The 24,929-nt window shown below is 47.6% G+C and overlaps 1 protein-coding gene across 3 annotated transcripts in view, besides 2 other annotated features; it reads right to left on the bottom strand.

Moving 5' to 3' along the window:
- Positions 1-23,018, bottom strand: part of OSBP2 (oxysterol binding protein 2) — a 214,032-nt gene extending 191,014 nt beyond the window's left edge. For 2 of the 3 annotated variants that reach the window (NM_030758.4, NM_001282739.2), the window contains exon 1: positions 21,247-21,926. In NM_030758.4, coding sequence (NP_110385.1) covers positions 21,247-21,890 — 644 coding nt within the window. In that variant the 5' untranslated portion in view covers positions 21,891-21,926. Of the gene's footprint in view, positions 1-21,246; positions 21,927-22,455; positions 22,593-22,727 lie in introns of those variants that run through there. The other variant, NM_001282738.2, reaches the window with a different exon arrangement.
- Positions 21,740-21,789: a silencer, noted in NCBI's record as "silent region_13616". NCBI's record gives its function as "represses an Ori minimal core promoter by ATAC-STARR-seq in GM12878 lymphoblastoid cells {active_cell/tissue: GM12878}" and the evidence as "EXISTENCE:reporter gene assay evidence [ECO:0000049][PMID:35858748]".
- Positions 22,174-22,253: a silencer, noted in NCBI's record as "silent region_13615". NCBI's record gives its function as "represses an Ori minimal core promoter by ATAC-STARR-seq in GM12878 lymphoblastoid cells {active_cell/tissue: GM12878}" and the evidence as "EXISTENCE:reporter gene assay evidence [ECO:0000049][PMID:35858748]".
- Positions 23,019-24,929: the final 1,911 nt, after the last annotated feature.

Below are 24,929 nucleotides of genomic sequence, written 5' to 3'. Positions count from 1 at the left end.
TAAGAAGAACTTCTACAACTCAACAACAAAAATCAAATAAATGATTAAAAAATGAGCAAAGGGGCTAGGCATGGTGGCTCACACCTGTAATCCCAGCATTTTGGGAAGCTGAGGCGGGCAGATCACTTGAGGTCAGGAGTTCGAGACCAGCCTGGCCAACATGGTGAAATCCCATCTCTACAAAAATACAAAAAATTAGCCAGGCGTGGTGGTGGGCACCTGTAATCCCAGCTACTCAGAAGGCTGAGGCAGGAGAATTGCTTGAACCTGGGAGGCGGAGGTTGCAGTGAGCCGAGATTGAGCCATTGCACTCCAGCCCGGGCAACCATGTGAGACTCTGTCTCAAAAAAACAAAAAACAAAACAAAACAAAAAAACAAACAAACAAAAAAAGGATTTGAACAGACATTTCTCTAAAGATGTTATACAAACGATCAACAAGCATATGAAAAGATGCTCAGCCAGGTGTGGTGGCTTATGCCTGTAGTCCCAGCACTTTGGGAGGCTGAAACAGGCAGATCACCTGAGGTCAGGAGTTCAAGACCAGCCTGGCCAACATGGCAAAACCCCATCTCTACTAAAAGTACAAAAATTAGCTGGGTGTGGTGGCAGGCACCTGTAATCACAGCTACTCAGGAGGCTGAGGCAGAAGAATCACTTGAACCCAGGAGGTGGAGGTTGCAGTGAGCCGAGACCATGCCATTGCACTCCAGCCTGGGCGACAAGAGCGAGATTCTGTCTCAAAAAAAAAAAAAAGAAAGAAAGAAAGAAAGAAAAGATGCTTGTGGTTGGGCATGGTGGCACAGGCCTGTAATCCCGATACTTCGGGAGGCTGAGGTGGGATACTTTGGGAGGCTGAGGTGGGAGGATCACTTGAGCCCAGGAATTCGAGACCAGCTTGGATAACACTGCAAGATCCTGTGTTAAAAAAAAAAAAAAAAAAAGGTTAGGTGTGGTGGCTCATGCTTATAATCCCAGCACTTTGGGAGGCCAAGGTGGGAAGGTCGCCTGCGGTCAGGAGTTCAAGACCAGCCTGGCCAACATGTTGAAACCCCGTCTCTACTAAAAACACAAAAAATTAACTGGACATGGTGGCAGGCACCTGTAATCAATCACAGCTACCTGGGAGGCTGAGGCAGGAGAATCGCTTGAACCCAGGAGGCAGAGGTTGCAGTGAGCCGAGATGGCGCCATTGCACTCCAGCCTGGGCAACAAGAGTGAAACTCCACCTCAAAAAAAAAAAAAAATCTAAAAATTAGCCATGTGTGGTGGTGTGCACACCTGTATTCCCAGCTACTCAGGAGGCTGAGGTGGGAGGATCACTTGAGCCCCAGAGGTTGGGGCTGCAGTGAGCCATGATCATGCCACTACACTCCAGCCTGGACAATGAAGCAAGACTCTGTCCCCTCCTCCCTGGCCAAAAAAAAAAAAAGAGAGAGAGAGATGCTCATCACTTATCATCACAGAAATGCAAATCAAAACCACAATAGATACCATCTCACATCCATTAGGATGGCTACTATCAAAAACAAAACAAAACAAAAACAGAAAATAAATCATTGGCAAGGACGTAGAGAAACTGGAACCTTTAAGAAACATTGTTGGGCCAAGCACAGTAGCCCATGCCTGTAATCTCAGCACTTTGGGAGGATGAGGAGAGAGGATTCCTTGAGCCCAGGAGTTCCAGGCTAACCTGAGCAACATAGCAAAATCCCATCTCTACAAAATAAAATTAAAAAAAAAAAAGAAACATTTTCAGTGGGAATGTAAAATGGTATAATCACTACAGAAAACAGTATGGAGATTCCTAAAAAAATTAAAAATAGAACTACCATATGATACAGCAATACCACTTTTGCGTATATATCCAAAAGAAACAACAGAAGGCTGGGCGTGGTGGCTCATGCCTGTAATCCCAGCAGTTTGGGAGGCCAAGGTGAGTGGATCACTTGAGGTCAAGAATTCAAGGCCAGCCTGGCCAACATGGTGAAACCCCATCTCTACTAAAATACAAAAATTAGCCAGGCATGGTGGTGGGCACCTGTAATCCCAGCTACTCGGGAGGCTGAGGCAGGAGAATCGCTTGAACCCGGGAGGCAGAGGTTGCAGTAAGCCAAGATCACACCATTGCACTCCAGCCTGGGCAAGAGTGAAACTCCGTCTCAAATAAAAAGAAATAGAAAGTAGAATGGTGGTGACCAGGGGTAGGGAAAGGGGAAAAGGGGAGGAGTTGTCCAATGAACATAGAGTTTCATATTTGCAGGATGAAAACATTTTGGAGATGTGTTTCACAGCAACGTGAAATACACCATGCTACTGAACTGTACACTTAAAAATAGTTAAGATAGTAAATTTTACGTTATGTGTTTTTTACTACAACAAAAAAAAAACACAAGAAAAAAAATCAGTGTGTTGAAGAGATATCTGCACTTCCATATTTATTGTAGAACTATTCACAATAGCCAAGATATGGAATCCGCCTAAGTGTCCAGCAGATGAATGGATAAAGAAAATGTGGTATATATACACAATGGAATACTATTCAGCCATTAAAAAAGAATGAAATCTTGTATGTGCACAACATGCATGAGCCCAGAGAACATTATGTTAAGTAAAACAAGCCAAGCATGAAAGACAAATACCACATGTTCTCACTCACATGTGGAGGCTGAAAAAGTCAATCTCATAAAAGTAGAGAGTAGCATAGTAGTTATTAGAGGCTGGGAAGGATAGAGGGAAGTGGGGGAGAAGGAGAGGTTGGTTAATGGATACAGAACTACAGCTAGACAGGAGGAATAAGTTCTAGTGTTCTACAGCACTGTAGGGTGACTACAGTTAATAATAATGTATTGTATATTTTCAAATAACCGGAAGACAGGAGTTTGGATGTTCCCAACACAAAGAAATGATAAATGTTTGAGGTGATGGATATGCTAGTTACTTTGATTTGATCATTACACGTGGTATACATGAGCCAAAATATCACCCTGTACCCCAAAAATACATATAATTATGATGTGTCAATGAAAACAATTTTAGGTTGACTGTAATAGCTCACATCTGTAATCTCAGTATTTTGGGAGGCCAAGATGGGAGGATCACTTGAGCCCAGGAGTTAGAGACCAGCCTGGGCAACATAGCAAGACCCTGTATCTAAAATAATTGTTTAAAACTTAGCCAAGCATAGTGGTGTGCATCTGTAGTCCCACCTACTTGGGAGGCTGAGGTGGGAGGATCACTTGAGCCTGGGAGGTTGAGGCTGCAATGAGCTGTAATCATGCCACTGCACTCTAGCCTGGGTAACAGAGCAAGACCCTGTCTAAATAAATAAATAAATAACATTTTAAAAATAAAATAAAATACTTCATTGGTTCCCAACCCATGTTAGGAAGAAAAGAAAAAAATCATAAAAATAAAATAAAATGAGCTGGGTGCAGTGGCTCACGCCTGTAATCCCAGCACTTTGGGAGGCTGAGGGCAGATCACGAGGTCAGGAGATCAAGACCATCCTGGCTAACACGGTGAAACCCTGTCTCTACTAAAAAATAGAAAAAATTAGCCGGGCGTGGTGGCGGGCGCCTGTAGTCCCAGCTACTAGGGTGGCTGAGGTAGGAGAATGGCGTGAACCCAGGAGGCGGAGCTTGCAGTGAGCCGAGATCACGCCACTGCACTCCAGCCTGGGCGACAGAGTGAGACTCTGTCTCAAAAAAAAAAAAAAAAATTAGCCAAGTGTGGTGATGCACGCCTGTAGTCCCAGCTACTCTGGAGGCTGAGGTGGAGAAGGATTGCTTGAGTGCAGAACATTGAGGCTGCAGTGAGTCGTGATGGTGCCACTGTACCACTCCAGCCTAGGTGACAGAGTAAGACTATATCTCAAAAAAAACAACAAAAACCAAAAACAAACCAAAAAACCAGGGCTCCTTCCTTTACTGGCAGCCCAAGAAGCAGGCCTGGCACATAGAGGGCACTAGACAGATACATTGCTGGGTAAATAAATAAAAGAATAAAGAGCTGAGGTTATGTCCATAATGACCCCAAGATACAACCTGTATATGGACAGAAATGATGAACAGTGATGCAAGTTGCTGGGCCTTAGACAAAGCAACTACACTTTCTGTGCCTTGTTTTCCCCATCTGTAAAATGAGGGTGATCCTGGACGCTCCAGTTCCCTCCCAGGTCACGAAGACTGGAAGTGTGATGAAGTAGATCCACACATATAAAAGATTATTTCCTGCAATATTCTATTCCTGATCAGTTTTCTGCTTTTCATTTCATACAATGTGCAAAAGGATGAGAGAGGATTCTGAGGTTCCATAGCAGCTGGGAGCCCTGACCTCATGGAAATGGCCATCCACATCCTTACTTAATACTTTCAAAGGACCCAGAACCAACAAATACACATCTGGCACTCTCCTCCCAGGGCAAATGAAGGAGGTGGGAAGGCTTGAGCACATTTCAGTTCAACAAGAATTTCCTGGGCTCCTCCTCTCCCAGCTGATGTACTGCTCTAGAGAAACAAAGATGTCATTCTGCCAGGTGGGAGGAAAAGGTGAGGTGGGAGGGTTAGGTCAAGTCCCAAGGTTTGGAGAAGAAAGAGGAGGAGGGTAAGGAGGAAGCTGGAGGCAAAAACTACCAATGGTAAAGGAGATCTGGAGAACAGGGTCTGAAACAGTCTGACACGCTCTGTCTTTCTCAAAGAGTTGCTCCCCCATGGACCCACTTGCCATTGATCTCCGTTTGGGTCACTTGCATTATCCTGTGTATTACACCAGTGTTGGCCTGCACCTTTCGTGTCACGTGAGTACCTCTGGGAGAGATGTATGAAGCCCAGTCTGGAGTCTAAGCATTAGCTGAATAAAGTGACAAAGTCTTTCTACAGGTCTCCAGAGACCTATGTCATCAAACCAGCTTTGAGATAATGATGATTACCAACCCACCCCAGCTAAAGGGGACCAGGCAGACACCATGGTGGGCTTCAGCAAGGAGATGAAACACAGAGAAAATGAGTTCTACCTAAGCAAAAATACTGTGGACTTAATTTTTTTTTTTTTTTTTTTTTTGAGATAGGGTCTCATTGTGTCACCCAGGCTGGAGTGCAGTAATGTGATCTTGGCTCAGTGCAACTTCTGCCTCCCAGGCTCGAGTGACCCTCCCACTTCAGCCTCCTGAGTAGCTCGGACCACAGGCACACACCGCCATGCCTGGCTGATTTTTGCATTTTTTGTAGACATGGGGTTTTGCCATGTTGCCCAGGCTGGTCTCAAACTCCTGGACTCAAGGGATCCACCCACCTTGGCTACCAAAGTGCTGGGATTACAGACCTGAGCCACTGAGCCAGGCCTGGTCTTAATTTTGTGTTGAGAATACCAGTATGAACTGATAATATATTCTATCTTTAAAGAGAACAAACACATTGTTTGTTTGCTTTATACCGAGCCAGGATATAAATGTATTTATATATATATGTATGTACATATATATAGTATCAAACATTGTATAAATATATATATTTCCTAGTTCTGTATAAAACAAAATATAGATATTTCCTAGCTTTTATAAAACAAACACACATAAATATATATATATATATTTCCTAGCTCTATACACTAAAAAGACCTAGAAACAATGACCAACTGGGTGACAATGACCCCTTATGGCACCAAGATTATGATCTTCAAACACTATTTCCCACCAAAAAGAAATGTGGCTCCTTGGAGAAATGGCTGACTCCAGGCCTGGGACAAGACAAGTACAAGGCTGGGCGCAGTGACTCACGCCTGTATTCCCAGCACTTTGGGAGGCCGAGGCAGGCGGATCGCCTGAGGTCAAGGAGTTCGAGACCAGCCTGGCCAACATGGTGAAACTGTCTCTACTAAAAATACAAAAATTAGCCGGGCGTGGTGGCAGGCGCCTGTAATCCCAGCACTTTGGGAGGCCGAGGCAGGCACATCACCTGAGGTCAGGAGTTTGAGACCAGCCTGGCCAACATGGTGAAACCCCATCTCTACTAAAAATACAAAAATAAGCCTGGCGTGGTGGCACATGCCTGTAATCCCAGCTACTAGGGAGGCTGAGACAGGAGAATCGCTTGAACCTGGGAGGTGGAGGTTACAGTGAGCTGAGATCGCACCACTGTACAGCACCCTGGGTGACAGAGTGAGACCCTGTCTCAAAAAAATACACACTAAAAAAAAAAAAAGACAAGTATAAGAAGAGCCTGGAACATGTTTTCAAGCCAGACAGCAAGGAAGCTATTAAACACTAATTCTATCAGGGGTCCTTCCAAAGGACTCTAGGGCCAACTTGAAGAGACTTCCACTAACTAAAGACATGGCCGGACAACATGAGCATCTTTAAGGGTAATGACAGTAGTGGGAAACACATCAAACATGCTGATATCTATGAGAGGTAATGATGCTTAAGAAAACACAACTAATTGGCCACCACTAGAAGAGAAGTGCCAACTCATTATTTTGAAAATTTTTGAAAACAAAACAAAACAAAACAGGAAAGAGTCAAGCACTGATTCTGCTCTTCCTGTGTGAACTGCACCTCTGAGTAACCATCGAGTAGCAGATGAGGGGAAGTTTCTCTTTGTAGAAGTATTCTTGCTAAGGCGGGGCACGGTGGCTCACACCTGTAATCGCAGCACTTTGGGAGGCTGAGTGGGGGAATCACCTGAGGTCAGGAGTTCAAGACCGGCCTGGCCAACATGGTGAAACCCTGTCTCTACTAAAAATACCAAAAAAATTAGCCAGGCATGGTGGTACATGCCCATAATTCCAGCTACTCGGGAGGCTGAAGCAGGAGAATTGCTTGAACCTGGGAGGCAGAGATTACAGTACGCTGAGATTGCACCACTGCACTCCAGCCCGGGTGACAAAGCAAGACTCCATTTCAGAAAAAAAAAAAAAGTATCCCTGCCAATAAATGAGGATGAAGTGATAGAATTAGACTAATCTGGGCTGGGCGAGGTGGCCTTACATCTGTAATACCAGCACTTTGGGAAGCCAAGTGTGGGCTCACTTGAGCCCAGGAGTTCACAAACCAGCCTGGGTGACACAGCAAGACCCCATGTCTTAAAAAAAAAAAATTTTTTTTAAATAATTAGACTAATTTGGCCAGGTGCGGTGGCTCATGCCTGTAATCTCAGCACTTCAGGAGGCTGAGGCAGGAGAACTGGTTGAATCTGGGAGGTGGAGTTTGCAGTAAGCCGAAATCATACCACTGCACTCCAGCCTGGAGACAGAGTGAGACTCTGTCTCAAAAAAAAACAAAAAACAAACAAACAAAAAACAATTAGACTAATCTAAGATTGATCATCACTAGCTGCTAACATCACAAAAAAAGAGAAGCCACCAACTCCTGATGGAAGAACACACCACCACCTATTCAACTTTCTAGATCCATCTGTCAAACTAAGACCTTACAGAGGAGAGAGGAACATGTTAACCTACACCAAGAAAATGCCATCAGTAAAATCCAGACTGTGGGAAATTCTATGGGTAGATCTTGGTTGAGTCCCAATACAAACAAATGTATCCAAAAAAAAATTTATGACATTTGAAACCACTGAAATTGTGAACACTGATTGGATAGCTGATGATAAGGAATGATTGTTAACTTGTTTTAGTTGTAATAGTGGTATTGTGGATATGTTTTTGTTTATTTATTTATTTATTTTATTATTATTATTTTTGAGATGGAGTTTTCGCTCTTGTTGTCCAGGCTAGAGTGCAACAGGACAACCTAGCTCACAGCAACCTCCACCTCTTGGGTTCAAGTGATTCTCCTGCCTCAGCCTCCCAAATAGCTGGGATTACAGGCACCCACCACCATACCCGGCTAATTTTTTATATTTAGTAGAGATAAGTTTTCACCATGTTGGTCAGGCTGGTCTCGAACTCCTGACCTCAGGTGATCCACCCACCTTGGCCTCCCAAAGTGCTGGGATTACAGGCATGAGCCAACCCCCCTGGCCTGTGGATATGTTTTTAAAATCCTTATCCTTGGCCGGGCACGGTGGCTCACGCCTGTTGATCCTAGCACTTTGGGAGGCTGAAGTGGGCGGATCACCTGAGGTCAGGAGTTCCAGACCAGCCTGGCCAACATGGTGAAACCTCGTCTCTACAAAAATTAAAAACTTAGCCGGGCATGATGGTGGGCGCCTGTAATCCCAGCTACTCGGGAGGCTGAGGCGGAAGAATTGCTTGAACCCAGGAGGCAGAGGTTACAGTGAGCCAAGATCATGCCATTGCACTCCAGACTGGGTGACAGAGCAAGACTCTGTCTCAAAAAAAAAAAAAAAAAAAAAAAAAAAATCCTTATCCTTTAGAGATATATACTGAAATAGTCACAGGTAAAATATCATATTTAGAATTCACTTTAAAATGATTTGAGAAGGACTGAGATGAAACGAGATTGGCCTAGAAGTTAATAATTGTTGAAACTAGGTAATGGGTACATGGGGTTTCATTATGCTATTGTCTACTCTTATATATGTTGTTTAAAATTCTTCATAACAAAAGAGTTTTAAATACACATTAATACAATGAGCTCTCAATATCCTCACATAGTCTTAGCTCATGTAAGCCTTAGAAAAGGGGCTGAACAGCCAGGCGAGGTGGTTCTCACCTATAATCCCAGCATTTTGGGAGGCTGAGGCAGGTGGATCACCTGAGGTCAGGAGTTCGAGACCAGCCTGGCCAACACGGCACAACCCTGTCTCTACTAAAAATGCAAAAATTAGCCAGGCATGGTGGCAGATGCCCGTAATCCCATCGACTCGGGAGGGTGAGGCAGGAGACTCGCTTGAACCCAGGAAGTAGAGGTTGCAGTGAGCCAAGACTGCACCACTGCACTGCAGCCTGGGCAACAAGAGTGAGACTCTGTCTCAAAAAAAAAAAGAAAAAAGAAATGGGGCTGAAGAAGCTGGGCCATGTGTAGCCTCGTGGTCACTGTGTTCTCCTAGCAATTCATTGACTCCCCCTCGGCTACTGCAATGGTTCAGGCTGCATGTTGGGTCTTTATACTAGGAACAAAACACAAAATTACAAAAAGTACATTTTCTTTTTTTTTTTTTTGAGACAGAGTCTCGCTCTGTTGCCCAGGCTGGAGTGCAGTGGCATGATCTCGACTCACTGCAAGCTCCGCCACCCGGGTTCACGCCATTCCTCTGCCTCAGCCTCCCGAGTAGCTGGGACTACAGGGCCCGCCACCGTGCCCGGCTAATTTTTTTTGTGTATTTTTAGTAGAGACGGGGTTTCACTGTGTTAGCCAGGATGGTCTCGATCTTCTGACCTCGTGATCCGCCCGCCTCAGCCTCCCACAGTGCTGGGATTACCGGTGTGAGCCACTGCACTGGGCCCAAAAAGTACATTTTCTATAAAAATGCTTCACTTAAGGCCGGGCACGGTGGCTCACGCCTGTAATCCTAACACTTTGGGAGGTCAAGGTGGGTGGATCACTTGAGGTCAGGAGATCAAGACCATCCTGGCCAATATGGTGAAACCTTGTCTCTACTAAAAATACAAAAATTAGCCGGGCGTGGCAGCGAGAGCCTGTAATCCCACCTACTCCGGAGGCTGAGGCAGAAGAATTGCTTGAACACGGGAGGCGGAGGTTGCAGTGAGCTGAGATCACGCCACTGCACTCCAGACTGGCGACAAAGCTAGACTCCGTCTCAAAAAAAAAAGCTTCACTGAAGTTTGAGAGTCTTTCAAGTATAAGGCCCTAGGCCCAGCACTCTAGAGGACACTACATTGAGAAGACATGGCCCTATGTTCCGGTGGGGAGGAGGGAGGTATTGATCTAACGGAGAGAGAAGGACGAATACCCAGCTGATGGGGTGCATGGCCAAATGAAATACACAAAAAGGCATCCAGAAGAAGGACAGTTCCTCCAGATCGTTGCAGGAAATCCATACAGGTCCATGCTGAGATGACCCTGGGATTAAGCCTACCCAGATAGGATTTCAGCAGCAATGAGGAGGGGTCCTTCTGGCTGAGGGGATGGCAGGAAGATCTGGAGTGAGGAATGAAACACATGTGGCTTGCAAAGGGGGAGTAAGGCAAGTTTGTTAGAAGAAGGGTCAAGGCTGGAAGAAGATGAGTGATAGGGAAAAGAGAGGCAGGACCTGGCTGTGAAGGACAGTGACTATCACGCCGAGGGTCAGGGCTTCATCTGGTGAGCCCAGGGAAACCACACACTGTATTAGGAAGGCGGCACCTCCTGCTGCTTCAAAGGACAATGCAATCTGGCAGTTTCCTATGCAAGCTCAGCCACACCATCTGCCCTCCTCTTGGTTTCAGGCAATGGCCCAGCAATGCAGATCAAATGGTGTGAGTCAAGATTGTTAAATCGGTATTAAATGTAGAGCTGTGGCTGTGCGTGTGACAAGATGCCAAATGGAATGAAGCATCACTAAGCAATCAGAACTCCAAGGACTCTTAAAAAAAAAAGTAAGGCAACGTGGCAAAGCATCGCACATAAAAGAAAAAAAGTGTACAGCACCCAGCATGACCCCAAAACTTATTGACAGTTTGCTCCGTGTGTATGATTATGAAAGGGGCCTCTTAAAGCCACATCTCCGTGTGGTGACACCTGCTGTGTGATTCACCACACACCAAGCTGCCAATTTCAATTTTGTTCAGAGGTGTTTCTTACCATCTCCTCTCTCCACGTGTCAGCATCCAGCAGTCATCCAGGGAACAGGCCCATTTCCCCTCTCTTTCCCCTTGGGATAAGCATATACTGATCTTGTTCTAGGGAACCTCACAGCCTTTTCATAGACCTGTCTTTCTTTACTGACATAGTTTGCCAGCTGTATCCCAAAAGACTACAGGGGAAGTGAAAGCCACATGTTTGAATATCCAGGGGCTCCCACAAAGCACTTTGCCTCAACCTGTTGGCCTCTTACTAAATAACCAGGGTGTGTGCACACTTCCCTCCCCCTCCTCCACTCCAGTTGTGTGACAGTGGTATGCAGGTCTGTCACTCACACTGCCTTGCACATTGTGGTCACTGCAGGAGATCAATAAACAATATGACCAAAGCTAGTGCAGGCTCACTGTCACAAACGTTTCAGACTTCTTGTCAGGCCCCAATCTTGGATTAACAGACCCTCCCTGAGAAACGTACAAGGTTCAGTAGCAGCAGCTGAAGAACTCACAGCAGACACTCCACCAAAGGCGCAAAAATACTGGGGAGGCCAGACGCGGTAGCTCACCCCTGTAATCCCAGCACTTTGGGAGGCCAAGGCAGGTGGATCATGTGAAGTCGGGAGTTCGAGACCAGCCTGACCAACATGGAGAAACCCCGACTCTACTAAAAATACAAAATTAGCCGGGCATGGTGGTGCATGCCTGTAATTCCAGCTACTCGAGAGGCTGAGGCAGGAGAATTGCTTAAACCCGGGAGGCGGAGGTTGCGGTGAGCTGAGATCGCGCCACTGCACTCCAACCTGGGTAACAAGAGCAAAACTCCATCTCAACAACAACAACAACAACAACAACAACAAAAATACTGGGGAGGAAGGGGTCCATGTGGCAAGTGTACCCCAGTCACTTGCAAAAACCAAGCCGCCAGATGACCTTGGGCAAGGTCTAGATCAGACAAGTGTCTGTGATGCAATCAACCGCCAATCACAGGGCCAGGAGAGCCACAGAGCAGGCACTCAGCACACAGAGCAGCAGACATGCTATGTGTTTGACACCCTGCAAGACTGGCATGTGGCTTTCTCTGATCAGAGACAAGAGGCCACTCCATCACTCAAAGCCAAGTATGGGCACTCACTCTCCTTGAACCAGCCCTTACTCTGACTGATGTCACTGATGTCTGCAAGGAGGAATGAGTTCACACCTGTGCAGAAAAGAGTTCACACAGCAGGCCTGAGACTGCCCGTCCTTTGACAGGCCTGCTTCCAAGGGGCCTTTGGCTAGTGTCTGGTAGCTTGAATTTGGGGAGGTTTCCTACCATTCCCTAACTGATAAGGGTGGCTCACTGTGCCTATACTGTTTGTACAAACGATGTGATTTATGGCAAATATCTGCTTTCCAGCTCACACCTGTAATACCAGCACTTTGGGAGGCTGAGATCACCTGAGGTCAGGAGTTCGAGACCAGCCTGGCCAACATGGTGAAACTCCATCTCTATTAAAAATACAAAAATTAGCCAAAAATATCTTGAACCCAGGAGGCAGAGGTTGCAGTGAACTGAGACTGCACCACTTCACTCCAGCCTGGGCGACACAGCAAGACTCTGTCTCAAAAAAAAAAAAAAAAATCTGCTTTCCTTCTGGGAATCTGGAATTTGGGTACGTGCCAAACAGAAGGTGCCCACATGACGAACTCCCAGTAAAAACCCTGGGCTCTGAGTCTCTAAGGATCTTCCCTGGTTGGCAGCATTTCACGTGCGTTGTCACAACTCGGTGGTGGAGGGATTAAGCGCATCTTGTGTGACTCCACTGGGAGAGGACCCTTGGAAGCTTGCAGCTGTTTTTCCCCAGACTTCACTCTGTTTCTTTGCCATCGTGCTTTCTTTGCATCCTTTCATTGTAATAAAGTATAGCTGTGGGTACAACTATTAGGTTGGTACAAAGGTAATCACAGTTTTTGCCATTAATATATGCTGAGTCCTGTGAGTCCTCCTAGTGGGTCATTGAGCCTGGGGTTACTTTCGGAGACCTCCAACCCAGGACCCCACAGAAGAGTCTCCCCAGTGTGAGGTGGGTGGACACCTTTGCGTGGGCTGAGTCAGAAGACTGTGATTGAATCCTCGTGCTGTTCATGTGCTTCCAGTTTTTTCCCCATGTAACAGGATGGCAAGATCAGCACTCCTGCACTGAAAGCATAAACTGGAAGTCACTCTGACACTTGCAGAATACCCCACAGACAAAAGGTTGTATTATCCAGTTGGATCTAACATTTTAGGGTAGAGGCCCCTTCTTTGATCAATAGCTGGCTTCCAACAGTGCAAGGCAAGCCATCAGATACACAGAAAAGTAGCTTTAAAAGCTATAAGGCCAGGCCAGGCACGATGGCTCACACCTGTAATGCCAGCACTTTGGGAGGCTGAGGCGGGCAGATCACTTGAAGTCAGGAATTTGAGACCAGCCTGGCCAACATGGTGAAACTCCGTCTCTACTAAAAATACAAAAATTAGCAGGGCATGGTGGCAGGTGACTGTACTCCCAGCTACTTGGGAGACTAAGACAGGAGAATTGCTTGAACCCAGGTGGCAGAGGTTGTGGTGAGCCAGGATCGTGCCACTGCACTCCAGCCTGGGCAACAGAGTGAGATTCTGTCTAAAAAAAAAAAAAAGCTATAAGGCCGGGCATGGTGGCTTACGCCTATAATCCCAACACTTTGGGAGGCTGAGGAGAGTGGATCACTTGAACTCAAGAGGTTGAGACCAGTTTGGCCAACATGGTGAAACCCCATCTCTACTAAAAATACAAAAATTAGCTGGGTGTGGTGGTGCACACCTGTAATCCCAGCTACTCCAGAGGCTGAGGCAGGAAAATCGCTTGAACCCAGGAAGCAGAGGTTGCAGTGAGCCAAGATTTTGCCACTGCACTTCAGCCTGGGCAACACAGCGAGACTCCATCTCAAAAAATTTAAAAAAAAAAAAATAAGATACTGGTTCACTGAGTAGCCTATTGCAACACATTCAAAGCTAGAAACACATTATATCCACATTCCCACTGTTGCTTTTCCTGCACTCCTGGCTTAAGCCTGCAATCTCCAATTTATCTCCCCAGTTAACTTATTGCAGCAAACAAGTTTTTGAAATGGAAGACAAATTAAGAAAAATTCAAGTTTGGCATGAACATACTTGGCTTTCTGAAATCCCATAAACTCACAGGCAACTCTAATTCATTTACTCACTCATCTATTAACAGACAAACCAAGCTACTGAGGATGTATCAGTGGCAAGTACTACTCCAGGCTCTATGTGGAATACAAAGAAGATGCCAAACTTGGCCATGGTGTCCCCTTGACACAAAGTTATCTGCAGAGAAGCTCAGACATACCCTGTAAATTCCCAAAGGAGGAAGACCTGGTTCTTTGGATCAGTACGGGGCTACTCTAGGTATTTCAAACAGGAGAAATTCAATACAGGGATCTGCTTACACAGGAGAAGGTACTGTTTTGTTTTGTTTTGTTTATTTATTTTATTTATTTTTTGAGACCGAGTCTCACTCTGTCACCCAGGCTGGATTGCAGTGGCATGATCTTGGCTCACTGCAACCTCCACCTCCCAGGTTCAAGTGATTCTCATGCCTCAGACTCCCGAGTAGCTGGGGTTACAGGCACCCACCACCATGCCCAGCTAATTTTTGTATTTTTAGTACAGACAGGATTTCGCCATGTTGGTCAGGCTGGTCTCAAACTCCTGACCTCAGGTGACCCACCTGCCTCAGCCTGCCAAACTGCTGGGATTACAGGCGTGAGCCACCACGCCCAGCAGAGAAGGTACTATTGAAAGAGAATCCTGGAGAAGGTGAGACAACCCCAGGGTCATGGAGGTGGGACACTAGCACCACAGCAGGGATGCACTGTCCAGGACAGAAGCTGGGACACCAGGTAAGCAGAAGGCAGACCTGAACCATGATGCGGCAACTGGGATGGAGAGGAGGAGCTAGAGGAGATATACAGGCAGGACTTGGAAATTTCATCTAATGTGGGATGAGGGAGGGAAGAGGCAGCAAGTATGACTCAGAGGTATTCAGCTATTCATAGAAAGAGGAGTTAGGAGGGGGAGGCAGGTTTGGTGGGGAAAATGACAGTTCATGTCACTAGAACTTGCTAAGAATGTTGGTGTGCACTGTGCTCCTCCAAAATATGCTGCTAGTCCATTTGTCACCTCTTTGCAACAACTCTGTGCTAAATGCTAAGAAAATATACTTCAAATGCTTACACATGATCAACCTGTGCATTCCTTTTCGGCCTCCTAACAGTCTCAGAGTATGTAACAATGAATAATAATTTCAAATTAAAGCTGAATCCAATAAAGCTACCTTCGGGGGTATCCAGCCCATTATGTGAGGACTAACCCTGCACACTTGCACCCTCAACTTCATGTTTTCAGGGACGCTTTGCAACTGGATGGACTTTTCCATCTCCAGCCTTTGAGTATTATCAAAATTGACATTGAAGGCTGGGCGTGGTGGCTCACGCCTGTAATCCCAGCACTTTGGGAGGCCGAGGCGGGCGGATCACAAGGTCAGGAGATCGAGACCATCCTGGCTAACATGGTGAAACCCCGTCTGTACTAAAAATACAAAAAATAAGCCGGGTGTGGTGGCAGGTGCCTGTAGTCCCAGCTACTTGGGAGGCTGAGGCAGGAGAATAGCATGAACCTGGGAGGCGGAGCTTGCAGTGAGTCGAGATCATGTCACTGCACTCCGGCCTGGGCTACAGAGCGAGACTCTGTCTCAAAAAAAAAAAAAAAAAGAAAAGAAAAAGAAAAAAGAAAAAAAGAAATTGACATTGAAAACAGTACAATATTTCTCGGTGCCCAGTTTTCACAGCAGTTGGCTTTTGAGAACTGAGTTCATGGGAAGGGTGAGTACACAATCTATCCCAGAGGCAACAATGTCTTGGTGTGCCATCTTCTGTTACCTGGCCACTGACCCAAAATGGGTGCAGCTCACCAAGTGTTCAGTGGTCTTCCTCAGCCAAAGGACTTTTTTTTTTTTTTTTGAGACGTAGTTGCACTCTTGTTGCCCAGGCTGGAGTGCAATAGCACAATCTCGGCTCACTGCAACCTCTGCCTCCCAGGTTCAAGCAATTCTCCTGCCTCAGCCTCCCGAGTAGCTGGGATTATAGGCATGCGTCACCACGCCTAGCTAATTTTTTTTTTTTGTATATAGTAAAGACGGGGTGGGTTTCACCATGTTAGTCAAGCTGGTCTCGAACTCCTGACCTCAGGTGATCTGCCCGCCTCAGCCTCCCAGAGTTCTCGGATTACAGGCATGAGCCACTGTGCCCAGCCAAGGACTTTCAAAATTTGTTCTCACTTGACTGCAGCTATCTACCTTATAGACCTAGGCTAATTTCTGGGAGGCATTCCTTGCTAACTGGCTTAGCCATTTACTAAGCAGAGATCAGTATGAACAATAAATAAATTATTTAAAATGCTTCTGTTTGAAATCATTTCCTGAGAAATAAATGTCATTTATAATGTCACCAAGCAGACAACTGGTATACAACAAAACAGAAGTTTGCCTAACCTAATAAATGTTGTCATTAATATAGATAAAACTTCTGTTTGGAACACTTTCTCCATAAAAACTTGCTGATGACAATACATTTGAAAATTCTGTATCATTTAGGAATTATTCTCTAATTTTATGGAATCACGTGTTCCCTGTGAGATAAGAACTAGGGATAAATTTTTTCAAAGGGAACTTCCCGCAATTAAAAAAAAAGCCAACATTGAACAAAAAACCATATTCCTATATTCTCCTTGTTAGTATGCAAATAAACATATAATTAAGAATGCCAAGTAATGGAATAAGAATCTTGTCTTCTAGGCCAGGCTCGGTGGCTCAAGCCTGTTATTCCAGCACTTTGGGAGGCCGAGGCAAGCGGATCACGAGGTCAGGAGTTTGAGATCAGCTTGGCCGACATGGTGAAACCCCGTCTCTACTAAAAATACAAAAAAAATTAGCTGGGTGTGGTGGCATGCCTCTGTAATCCCAGCTACTCGGGAGGCTGTGGCAGGAAAATTGTTTGAAACTGGGAGGCAGAGGTCACAGTGAGCCGAGATCGTGCCACTGCACTCCAGCCTGGGTGACAGAACGAGACTCCATCTCAAAAAAAAAAAAAAGAAAAAAAGAATCTTCTGCCTTATTTATATTCCAAGCACATTGTCAGAAAGAAGTGAAAATCTGCCAACAATTATCCATATCTCATAGAAATACTTTTTACATGTGATAATATTTATAAAGAGCATTTTTAAAAATTCTTAATAATATGAATGTTATTAAGCCCAACTATTGGTAAAATGTGCTTTCTTCCTTAGAATATACTTAAGCAATCAAATGAGTTTCTCGAGCAAAATCCAGGGCAGAAGTACCTGAGGAAGTGACATTGAAAGGAGAAATTTTAATCCAAACCCCCACTCTTCTGCTATTAAGGTAAAAATAATGGAAATTGAAATGCAGGTCAGGACTACAATGAGCGATCACAGTTCCCATTCGATTAGCAAAATCAACACTGACAATACCAAGTCTTGCAAAGGATAAGGATCCACAGAATCTCTTTTTCATGACCGTTGGGAATATAAATTTGTGCAACTGCTTTGGGAAACAGTTTGGCATTACGTAAGATGAACATTCACAATTCTCTACAACCCAGAAATTATACTCAAGAGAAATTCCGGCACACATACAAGAATGTTTGTAGTGACCCATCATCAGGAAAATGCATAAGTAAAAGGTGCTACATTTGCACCCTGGACTTTATACAATAGTCAAAATAAGTCTTGTAAAAATAACATACTCTATATATTAGAAACCCTTTTTGAAATAAGGTTAAAGATGACTGCATAGCCAGGCACAGTGGCTCATGCCTGTAATCTCAGCAGTTTGGGAGGCTGAAGGGGGTGGATCACTTGAGGCCAGGAGTTTGAGACCAGCCTGGCCAACATAACGAAACCTTGTGTCTACTAAAAACACACAAAAAATTAGCTGGGCACGGTAGCACACGCTTGTGATCCCAGCTACTCAGGAGGCTGAGGCATGAGAATCACTGGAACCTGGGAGTGGGAGGGTGTAGTAAGCCAAGATCGTGCCACTGTGCTCCAGCCTGGGCAACAGAATAAGACTCTGTCTCAAAAAAAACAAAAATTGCAATAAAAAATATGGACTTTTAAATATTACACCTAGATGAGATAAAATTAAATAAAATGGGGAGAAAAGTGCATGGCGACCAGGATTAGGAATAGTGGCTATCCTGGAGGAGGGGAGGCCAGAAAGTGGGATGGGATGGCAGGGGGCACAAGAAATAGATGCTCACATTTTCTCCAAACACCAGGCTTCACTTAGTTAAAAAGTTGGCCAGGTGCAGTGGCTCATGCCTGTAATCCCAGCACTTTGGGAGGCCAAGGCGGGCAGATCACGAAGTCAGGAGTTTGAGACCATCCCGGCCAATATGGTGAAACCCCGTCTCTACTAAAAATACAAAAAATTAGCCAGGCGTGGTGGTGCACGCCTGTAGTTCCAGCTACTCGGGAGGCTGAGGCAGGGGAATAGCTCGAACCTGGGAGGCAGAGATTGCAGTGAGCTGAGATCACGCCACTGCACTCCAGCCTGGCGACAGAGCAAGACTCTGTCTCAAAAAAAAAAAAAAGAAAAAGAAAAATTAAAAAGTTGAGAGTGGTCTTTCCAAAAGAGAAGCCAGCAAGAGAAATGGCCCTGATTCCTTCTTCGCCAGCCACATTGCCCAGCAGGTAAGCTTGACTCTACCAGCCCCCAAGGAAAAGAGATCATGAATTTAAAAATTCTTTCACTTTATTTCCAACTCACAAGCACCCTAATCTCACCTCTATCCCCAGCCACACCCATTTGGCCACCTGCTGAGAGCTGGGTGTCTGGAGAGGGCTGGAGGAGATAACACACATGCACGGCACTGGGCACATTTGGCGCATCCGAAAACCCACCCTGCTGCTGTCAGGGTTACGTGACAGACCTGGAGGATGCTCAGTCCTTGATCCCAGCTGGCAAGATGGCCTGTTCTAGAAGGGGAATTCAGATCAGAAGTGGGGACAGGAGAGCGGCGTCAAACATCTCAAGTGGCAATTCCAGCTGCACTTCAAAAGGGCCTTTTCTGCACATATACTCATCTCTGGTGGCATTCGGACACACAGCCTGCAAGCTGGCCGTCTCTGGGGAGGCCATTGAGGTTCATTCATTCAGCCTCAGTTCCCCTTTCCTGGCCAGCCTTGCATGGAATGCAATGAGGGCACAGGATCGTATAAATGTCAGGAATCGTTCATTATACCTGGGTAAGGTCAGCAACAATTTGACCCATCTTAGAATCTCGAAAAGTCCGAAAAGGAAATTGCAGAGCTGGACTGTACACGCACACACACCAGAAACTTGTTCTCACTCCCTCCTCCCCACAAAACTAGCATTTATCTTCACAACATTATCAGCAAGCAGTAAGAATTTTTCTTAGTTACCCAGAGAATCTGCACACTTGAGATCACTCTGAAATGTCAACCGTCTACACATTTTGTTTTAAGAAAAGAAGATTTGGGAGGCTGAGACGGGCAGATCATGAGGTCAAGAGATCAAGACCATCCTGGCCAACATGGTGAAACCCCGCCTCTACTAAAAATACAAAAATTAACCGTGTGTGGTGGCGCACACCTGTAATCCCAGCTACTTGGGAGACTGAGGCAGGAGAACTGCTTGAACCTGGGAGGCGGAGGTTGCAGTGAACCGAGATTGCACCACTGCCCTCCAGCCTGGTGACAGAGTGAGACTCCATCTCAAAAAATAAAAAAAAGAAGATGGACATCTTTGCTCTTCCAATTAAAACCCAAAAGCATGATATCAGGTTTTACTTCCACTAAAACCAGGCATTTCTGCCACTGTGGGAGACTATACTTATAAACATTACCTTTAACTCTTCAGTTTAGTAGTACCTGGTAAATACAGGTAACACAGACATGCTGAACTCAAAGGTGAGTGGGTATCAGGACACATTTGGGACAGGTCCAGATGTTGGTGTTCAGAATCCCTCTCTACCGTCTACTGGGCCAGTGCCTTTGGATAATGGGCTCTGTGTCTCCCCATCAAACCTCAGAACTCCTCATTTGTAAGACAGGAGAGGCCGGTGTGGTGGCTCATGCCTGTAATCCTAACACTTTGGGAGGCCGAGGCAGGCGAATCACCTGAGGTCAGGAGTTCGAAACCAGCCTGGGCAACATGGTGAAACCCCATCTCTACTAAAAATACAAAAAAAAAATTAGCCGGGCATGGTGACGGGCGCCTGTAATCCCAACTACTCAGGAGGCTGAGGCAGAAGAATTGCTTGAACCTGGGGGGCGGAGGTTGCAGTGAGCCAAGATTGCACCACTGCACTCCAGCCTGGGCGACAGAGCAATACTCCGTCTCAAAAACAAAAACAACAAAAAACAAAACCCTGTAGTGGGTGACTTGAAGGGATACTGTTGGCTGAATGAAGTGAGTGAAGTGACCTGAATTTCAGCAACAGCAAGTCAAGGTCCTTTTGTGTGCAGCAATGAAACAGTGCTTCTCAGAGTGTGGTCCTGGACCAGCATCACCAGCCACGCCTGGGAAGTTATTAGAAAATCCGAATCTCAGGCCCTTCCCCTAGGCCCACTGTAACAGAAATTCATTGGGGAGGCCCAGCACTTTGTGTTCCAACAAGCTCTTCAGGGAATGCTGATGCACACTCAGGTTTGAGAACCACTGGCATAGACTGATCTGAGTTCTCAAGGCTTAAACCAACCATCCCCAGGAAGCAGACCCAGGGAAGAGCCAGTAAGAAAGCAAAGGGAGGCTTCAGTAACCTCCTTTCAACCAGTTTCAGTGGGAAGACAGTGTTAGCTCTCTCACCACTGGACTTTAATTTTGAATCCCGTGCTGGGTCTGGAATAAGAAAGGAGGGCAGCAAAACACTTCCTAGCTCTCCGCAAAATGCCAAGATGGACTCCTGAAGGCCAAGAACCGTGTCCAATACATCTGTGAGTCTGTGGTGCCCAGCCCAAGGCCTGGCAACCAGAGGCATCAGGAAAGGTGGGAGTAACTGCCCCAGGCGGGAAGAATAAGCAGCCCTTCCTAAGAGTGTGGGTCCTAAGGACTGAACAAGGTGACTCTCTCCCTCAATCCCAAACACACAATGATGTTAGCTCCCGAACCAGAAAGGGCAAGGACTTTGAGGGGCTGACTCTAGCTAGCTGCCCCAAGCCCCACAACTGCCAAGCAGAAGGGAACTGAGGCCCCAGATCACTCCCTTACTCCACCTCCCCACTTGCCCAAAAACCCAAGCTTGCCAGAGGTCATGTCCGCAGATCACATTCACCCTTGCCAGAGGTCAGGGCCCCCGGCCCTTGGCGGCGGGCCAGAAGCGTGACTTGGCCTGCTGGAATGCATGCCCCTAAACATCTCTAGACTAGTGGCAGTGTCCGCCAACCATGGAGGCCCTCCATCACCATCCCTGCAGCATCACCACCCTCCAACCCCCATGTCCCACCCTGGCGCTTCCATACCTGTAGTAAGAGAGCAAACCATTGCCCAGCACGAACCAGCGGCGCTGGTAGCCCTTCAGATAGTTGGTCCACTTGAGAAGCCAGCCCTCGAAGCTGTCCAGAGGCAGTAAGGCCAGTGGGGCACTGGAGGTCGTGCCAGTCCCCGACATTGGAACCCCAAGAGGAGTCTTCGCCTGTCCTGGTCGCAGAAGAGGCAGGGGCTTTAACGCTGGCAGCGATCCTGACTCGGGTCTGAGAAAGGTCGCGCTCCCCACCGCCCGGGAGAGCGGCTCCGATGCGGCCTTAGTGAAGGGCCCAGCCCCTACACCTGAGCTTGACTCTGACCCCGGCCGCGACCCCTGCAGCAGTTCCGATGGCTGCCCAGCCCCTGGCTCCGGCTCAGACGTCGTCTCGGACACAGGTTCCGATCTTGGCACTGCCTCCGAAACTGCCTCCGACACCTGTTCTGACAGCGGTCCCCGCTCCGGTTCGGGCACGGGCTGGGGCTGGGGCTTGGGCTCCGGCCCGGAGCCGGACGTGGAAGCGCTCATGCCCGGCGCCGCCGTGTGGCACGACAGGCAGGGGACAACCGTGAACAGCGACGAGAGCCCGCGGGAGCGGCCGCCACAGCCGCCGCCTCGGCTCGGAGCCGCCGCTTTCCCCATAGAGCCGGCCGACCCGCGCGCGGCCGAGCGGCCAGTGGGGGCGGGGGGCAGGCCGGGGGCGGGGCCGGGGGCGCAGTCACGTGCGCGCGGCGCGAGGCGGGGGCGCGCGCGGGTTCCTCCGCGGTCCCGTGCGCTCCGTGCCCGTCAGCGCCCGCCGGCTGTTGTGCTCTCGGCCAGCCTCGGGCCATGTTTGGACCCTGGGTCCTTCCTAGGTCCGGCCGGTGGAAGGAGCTCTGACAACACCTGTGGGCGGAAGAGCTTGGTGGTCGGTCAACTCCGAAGGGGATGGCGCGCTTCAGGCCACGGTCTCTGCTTCGGCCCAGCCGTGCCAGGCGCTGGAGGAACAATGATGAATGCGGAGCCCGCCAGCTCCCAGCGCAGCTCTGCCCACGGGACCCTGCGCCGACGCCCCCTCCCCCAACCCAGGCTGGGGTGGGTTCGCTCTCCGCCACCCAGGAAAGCCGGGTGGGAAGCAGGTACGGCACCCAGAGGCCACGAAATGCGCACGAAGCACAGGGGCGCTAAAGGCTAAAGACGACGCCCCGCCCCCCATGGCAGCCATTACCTGTCTGTGGGTCGCTCCTGCGGCCGCCAGAAGCGGTGGCCCCAAGTGGCCGCCTCACCGCCTCCACCTCCTGAGCCAGCTGGCCTACGGTTCATGCCAAGGCGCTTCGCTGCCAGTGACGACATCGTTCGGGTTCTCTAAACAAATAGGGGAAGACTTTTTGTAAACCAAGCGTTTTAGTACAAGAAACATCTCAAAGTGGGATTCTGAACTTGGACCTCCCGGGATCCCTGGGTAGGCTGGCAGTCTGTGAGGCTTCCGCAGAGGTTTACCTGTCTGTGCATTTTTCCAGAGTAGGTCCATAACAAAGGAGGCTGTGACCCCAGAATGGTTAAAACATCAGCGAATTTTTTTTTCCGCTTTTTTTTTTTTTCCTTTTTGAGACTGAGTCTCACTCGGTAGCCCAGGCTGGAATGCAGTGGCGTGATCTTGGTTCACTGCAGCCTCCGCTTCCCAGGTTCAAGCGATTCTCCTGCCTTGGCCTCCCTAGTAGCTGGAATTCCACGGCCCGCACCATGCCCAGCTAAATTTTGTATTTTTAGTAGAAACGGGGTTTCACCATGTTGGTCAGGCTGGTCTTGAACTCCTGACCTCAGGCCAGGATCCTCCCGCCTCGGCCTCCCAAAGTGCTAGGATTACAGGCGTGAGCCACTGTGCCCAGCCATCAGTGATTTTTTTTTTTTCTTAAGAATCTATCCAAATGACGAAAGTTGATGGTTACTACAAATAATCAGAAATACAAATGGAAAGACTGAACATTGGGTTTCTGTCCAGACTTTTCAAGCTTAGACCTCTCTGCAGACTCCTCTTAGCTCACCATCACGTCTTACTCTCCCCTTACCCACCTATCCATTCCTGATCTTTGCTTGTGACAAGATAACCTGTGTAGGGACTGCTTCCTACGTGAAGTGGTCCCCAGAAGGAAGCAGATTGGAAGGTCCTAGAAATAGGAGGTGCAGACATGCACTGAGCAGGAGCCGCTGGCATCTTTGCTGGTGACTTTGAGACCCCTTCCTCAGGCACTTGTCTTTGAATGGTGGTCTTACCTGCAATTTTGCTGTGAGCTCTGGAGTGCAGAGAGCCCCCCATCTTGGTCTATCTCATATGTATGACGGTGACCCTCAAACTTCAGCATGGTGAGTCCCCCCAAGGAAAAGTGATTGCCTCTGGGGTGTAGTGGGGGACAGAACTGGACAACTGAGAAATGAGGTGGAATGCTTGCTTTTCACTCACACTTTGAACCTTTTGTATGTTTTACTGTGTATGTTTCACTGTGTGTATGTTTCACCGATTCAAAATAATGATGATAATTGTTAAAATCACCCCAGGGAGGTTTATTAGAAACACACTTTTCCAGAGCTGGGCACGGTGGCTCATGCCTGTAATCCCAGCACCTTGGGAGGCCGAGGCAGGCAGATCACGAGGTCAGGAGACCAGTCTGGCCAACATAATGAAACCCTGTCTCTACTAAAAATTAAAAAAATTAGCCGGGTGTGGTGGTGTGTGCCTGTAATCCCAGCTACTCGGGAGGCCAAGGCAAGAGAATTGCGTGAACCCAGGAGGCAGAGGTTGCAGTGAGCCGAGATCGCAACATTGCACTCCAGCACGGGCGACAGTGAGAGACTCCATCTTAGTAAAAAAAAGAAAAAGAAATTCACTTCTCCATCCCCAGTAAGTCAGAGGTGGAATCCAAGAACATGCTTTTTTTTTTTTTTTCTTTTTCTTTTCTTGAGACAGTGTCTTACTCTGTCACCTAGTCTGGAGTGCAGTGATGCAATCATGGCTCACTGCAGCCTTGGCCTTCAGGGGTCAAGTGGTCCTCCCACCTCGGCCTCCAGATTAGATGGGACTACAGGCATGTGCCACCACACCCAGCTAATTAAAAAAATTTTTTTTTGTAGAGATGGAGTCTCCCTATGTTGCCCAGACTGGTCTTGAAATCCTGGCTCAGGGAATCCTCCTGTCTTGGCCTCCCAAGGTGTTGGGATTACAGGTGTGAGCCACCTCGTCCAGCCAGGAACATGCATTTTATTATTTATTCATTTACTTTGAGATGGAGTCTTGCTCTGTTGCCCAGGCTGGCATGCAGTGGCACAATCTCGGCTCACTGCAACCTCTGCCTCCTGGGTTCAAGCGATTCTTGTGCCTCAGCCTCCCGAGCAGCTGGGATTACAGGCATGCGCCACCAGGCCCAGATAATTTTTGTATTTTTAGTAGAAACGGGGTTTCACCATGTTGGCCAGGCTGGTCTCGAACTCCTGACCTCAGGTGATCCACCCACCTCGGCCTCCCAAAGTATGAGGATTACAGGCATGAGGGACCACGCCCAGCTGAGAACATGCATTTTAATGATTTCCCAGAGGTTTTGCATGTGGATGGATCATGGAGCACATTTTGGTGGACAGTGATGTGGAGGGAACATCTACGGCTTTGGGAGTCAGACCCACGAAAGAAATCCCAGTTCGGCCACTCCC

Source organism: Homo sapiens, chromosome 22 (genome assembly GCF_000001405.40).
Source record: "Homo sapiens chromosome 22, GRCh38.p14 Primary Assembly".
Classification (NCBI taxonomy): Eukaryota; Metazoa; Chordata; class Mammalia; order Primates; family Hominidae; genus Homo; species Homo sapiens.
This window is presented reverse-complemented; position numbering and strand designations above follow the sequence as displayed.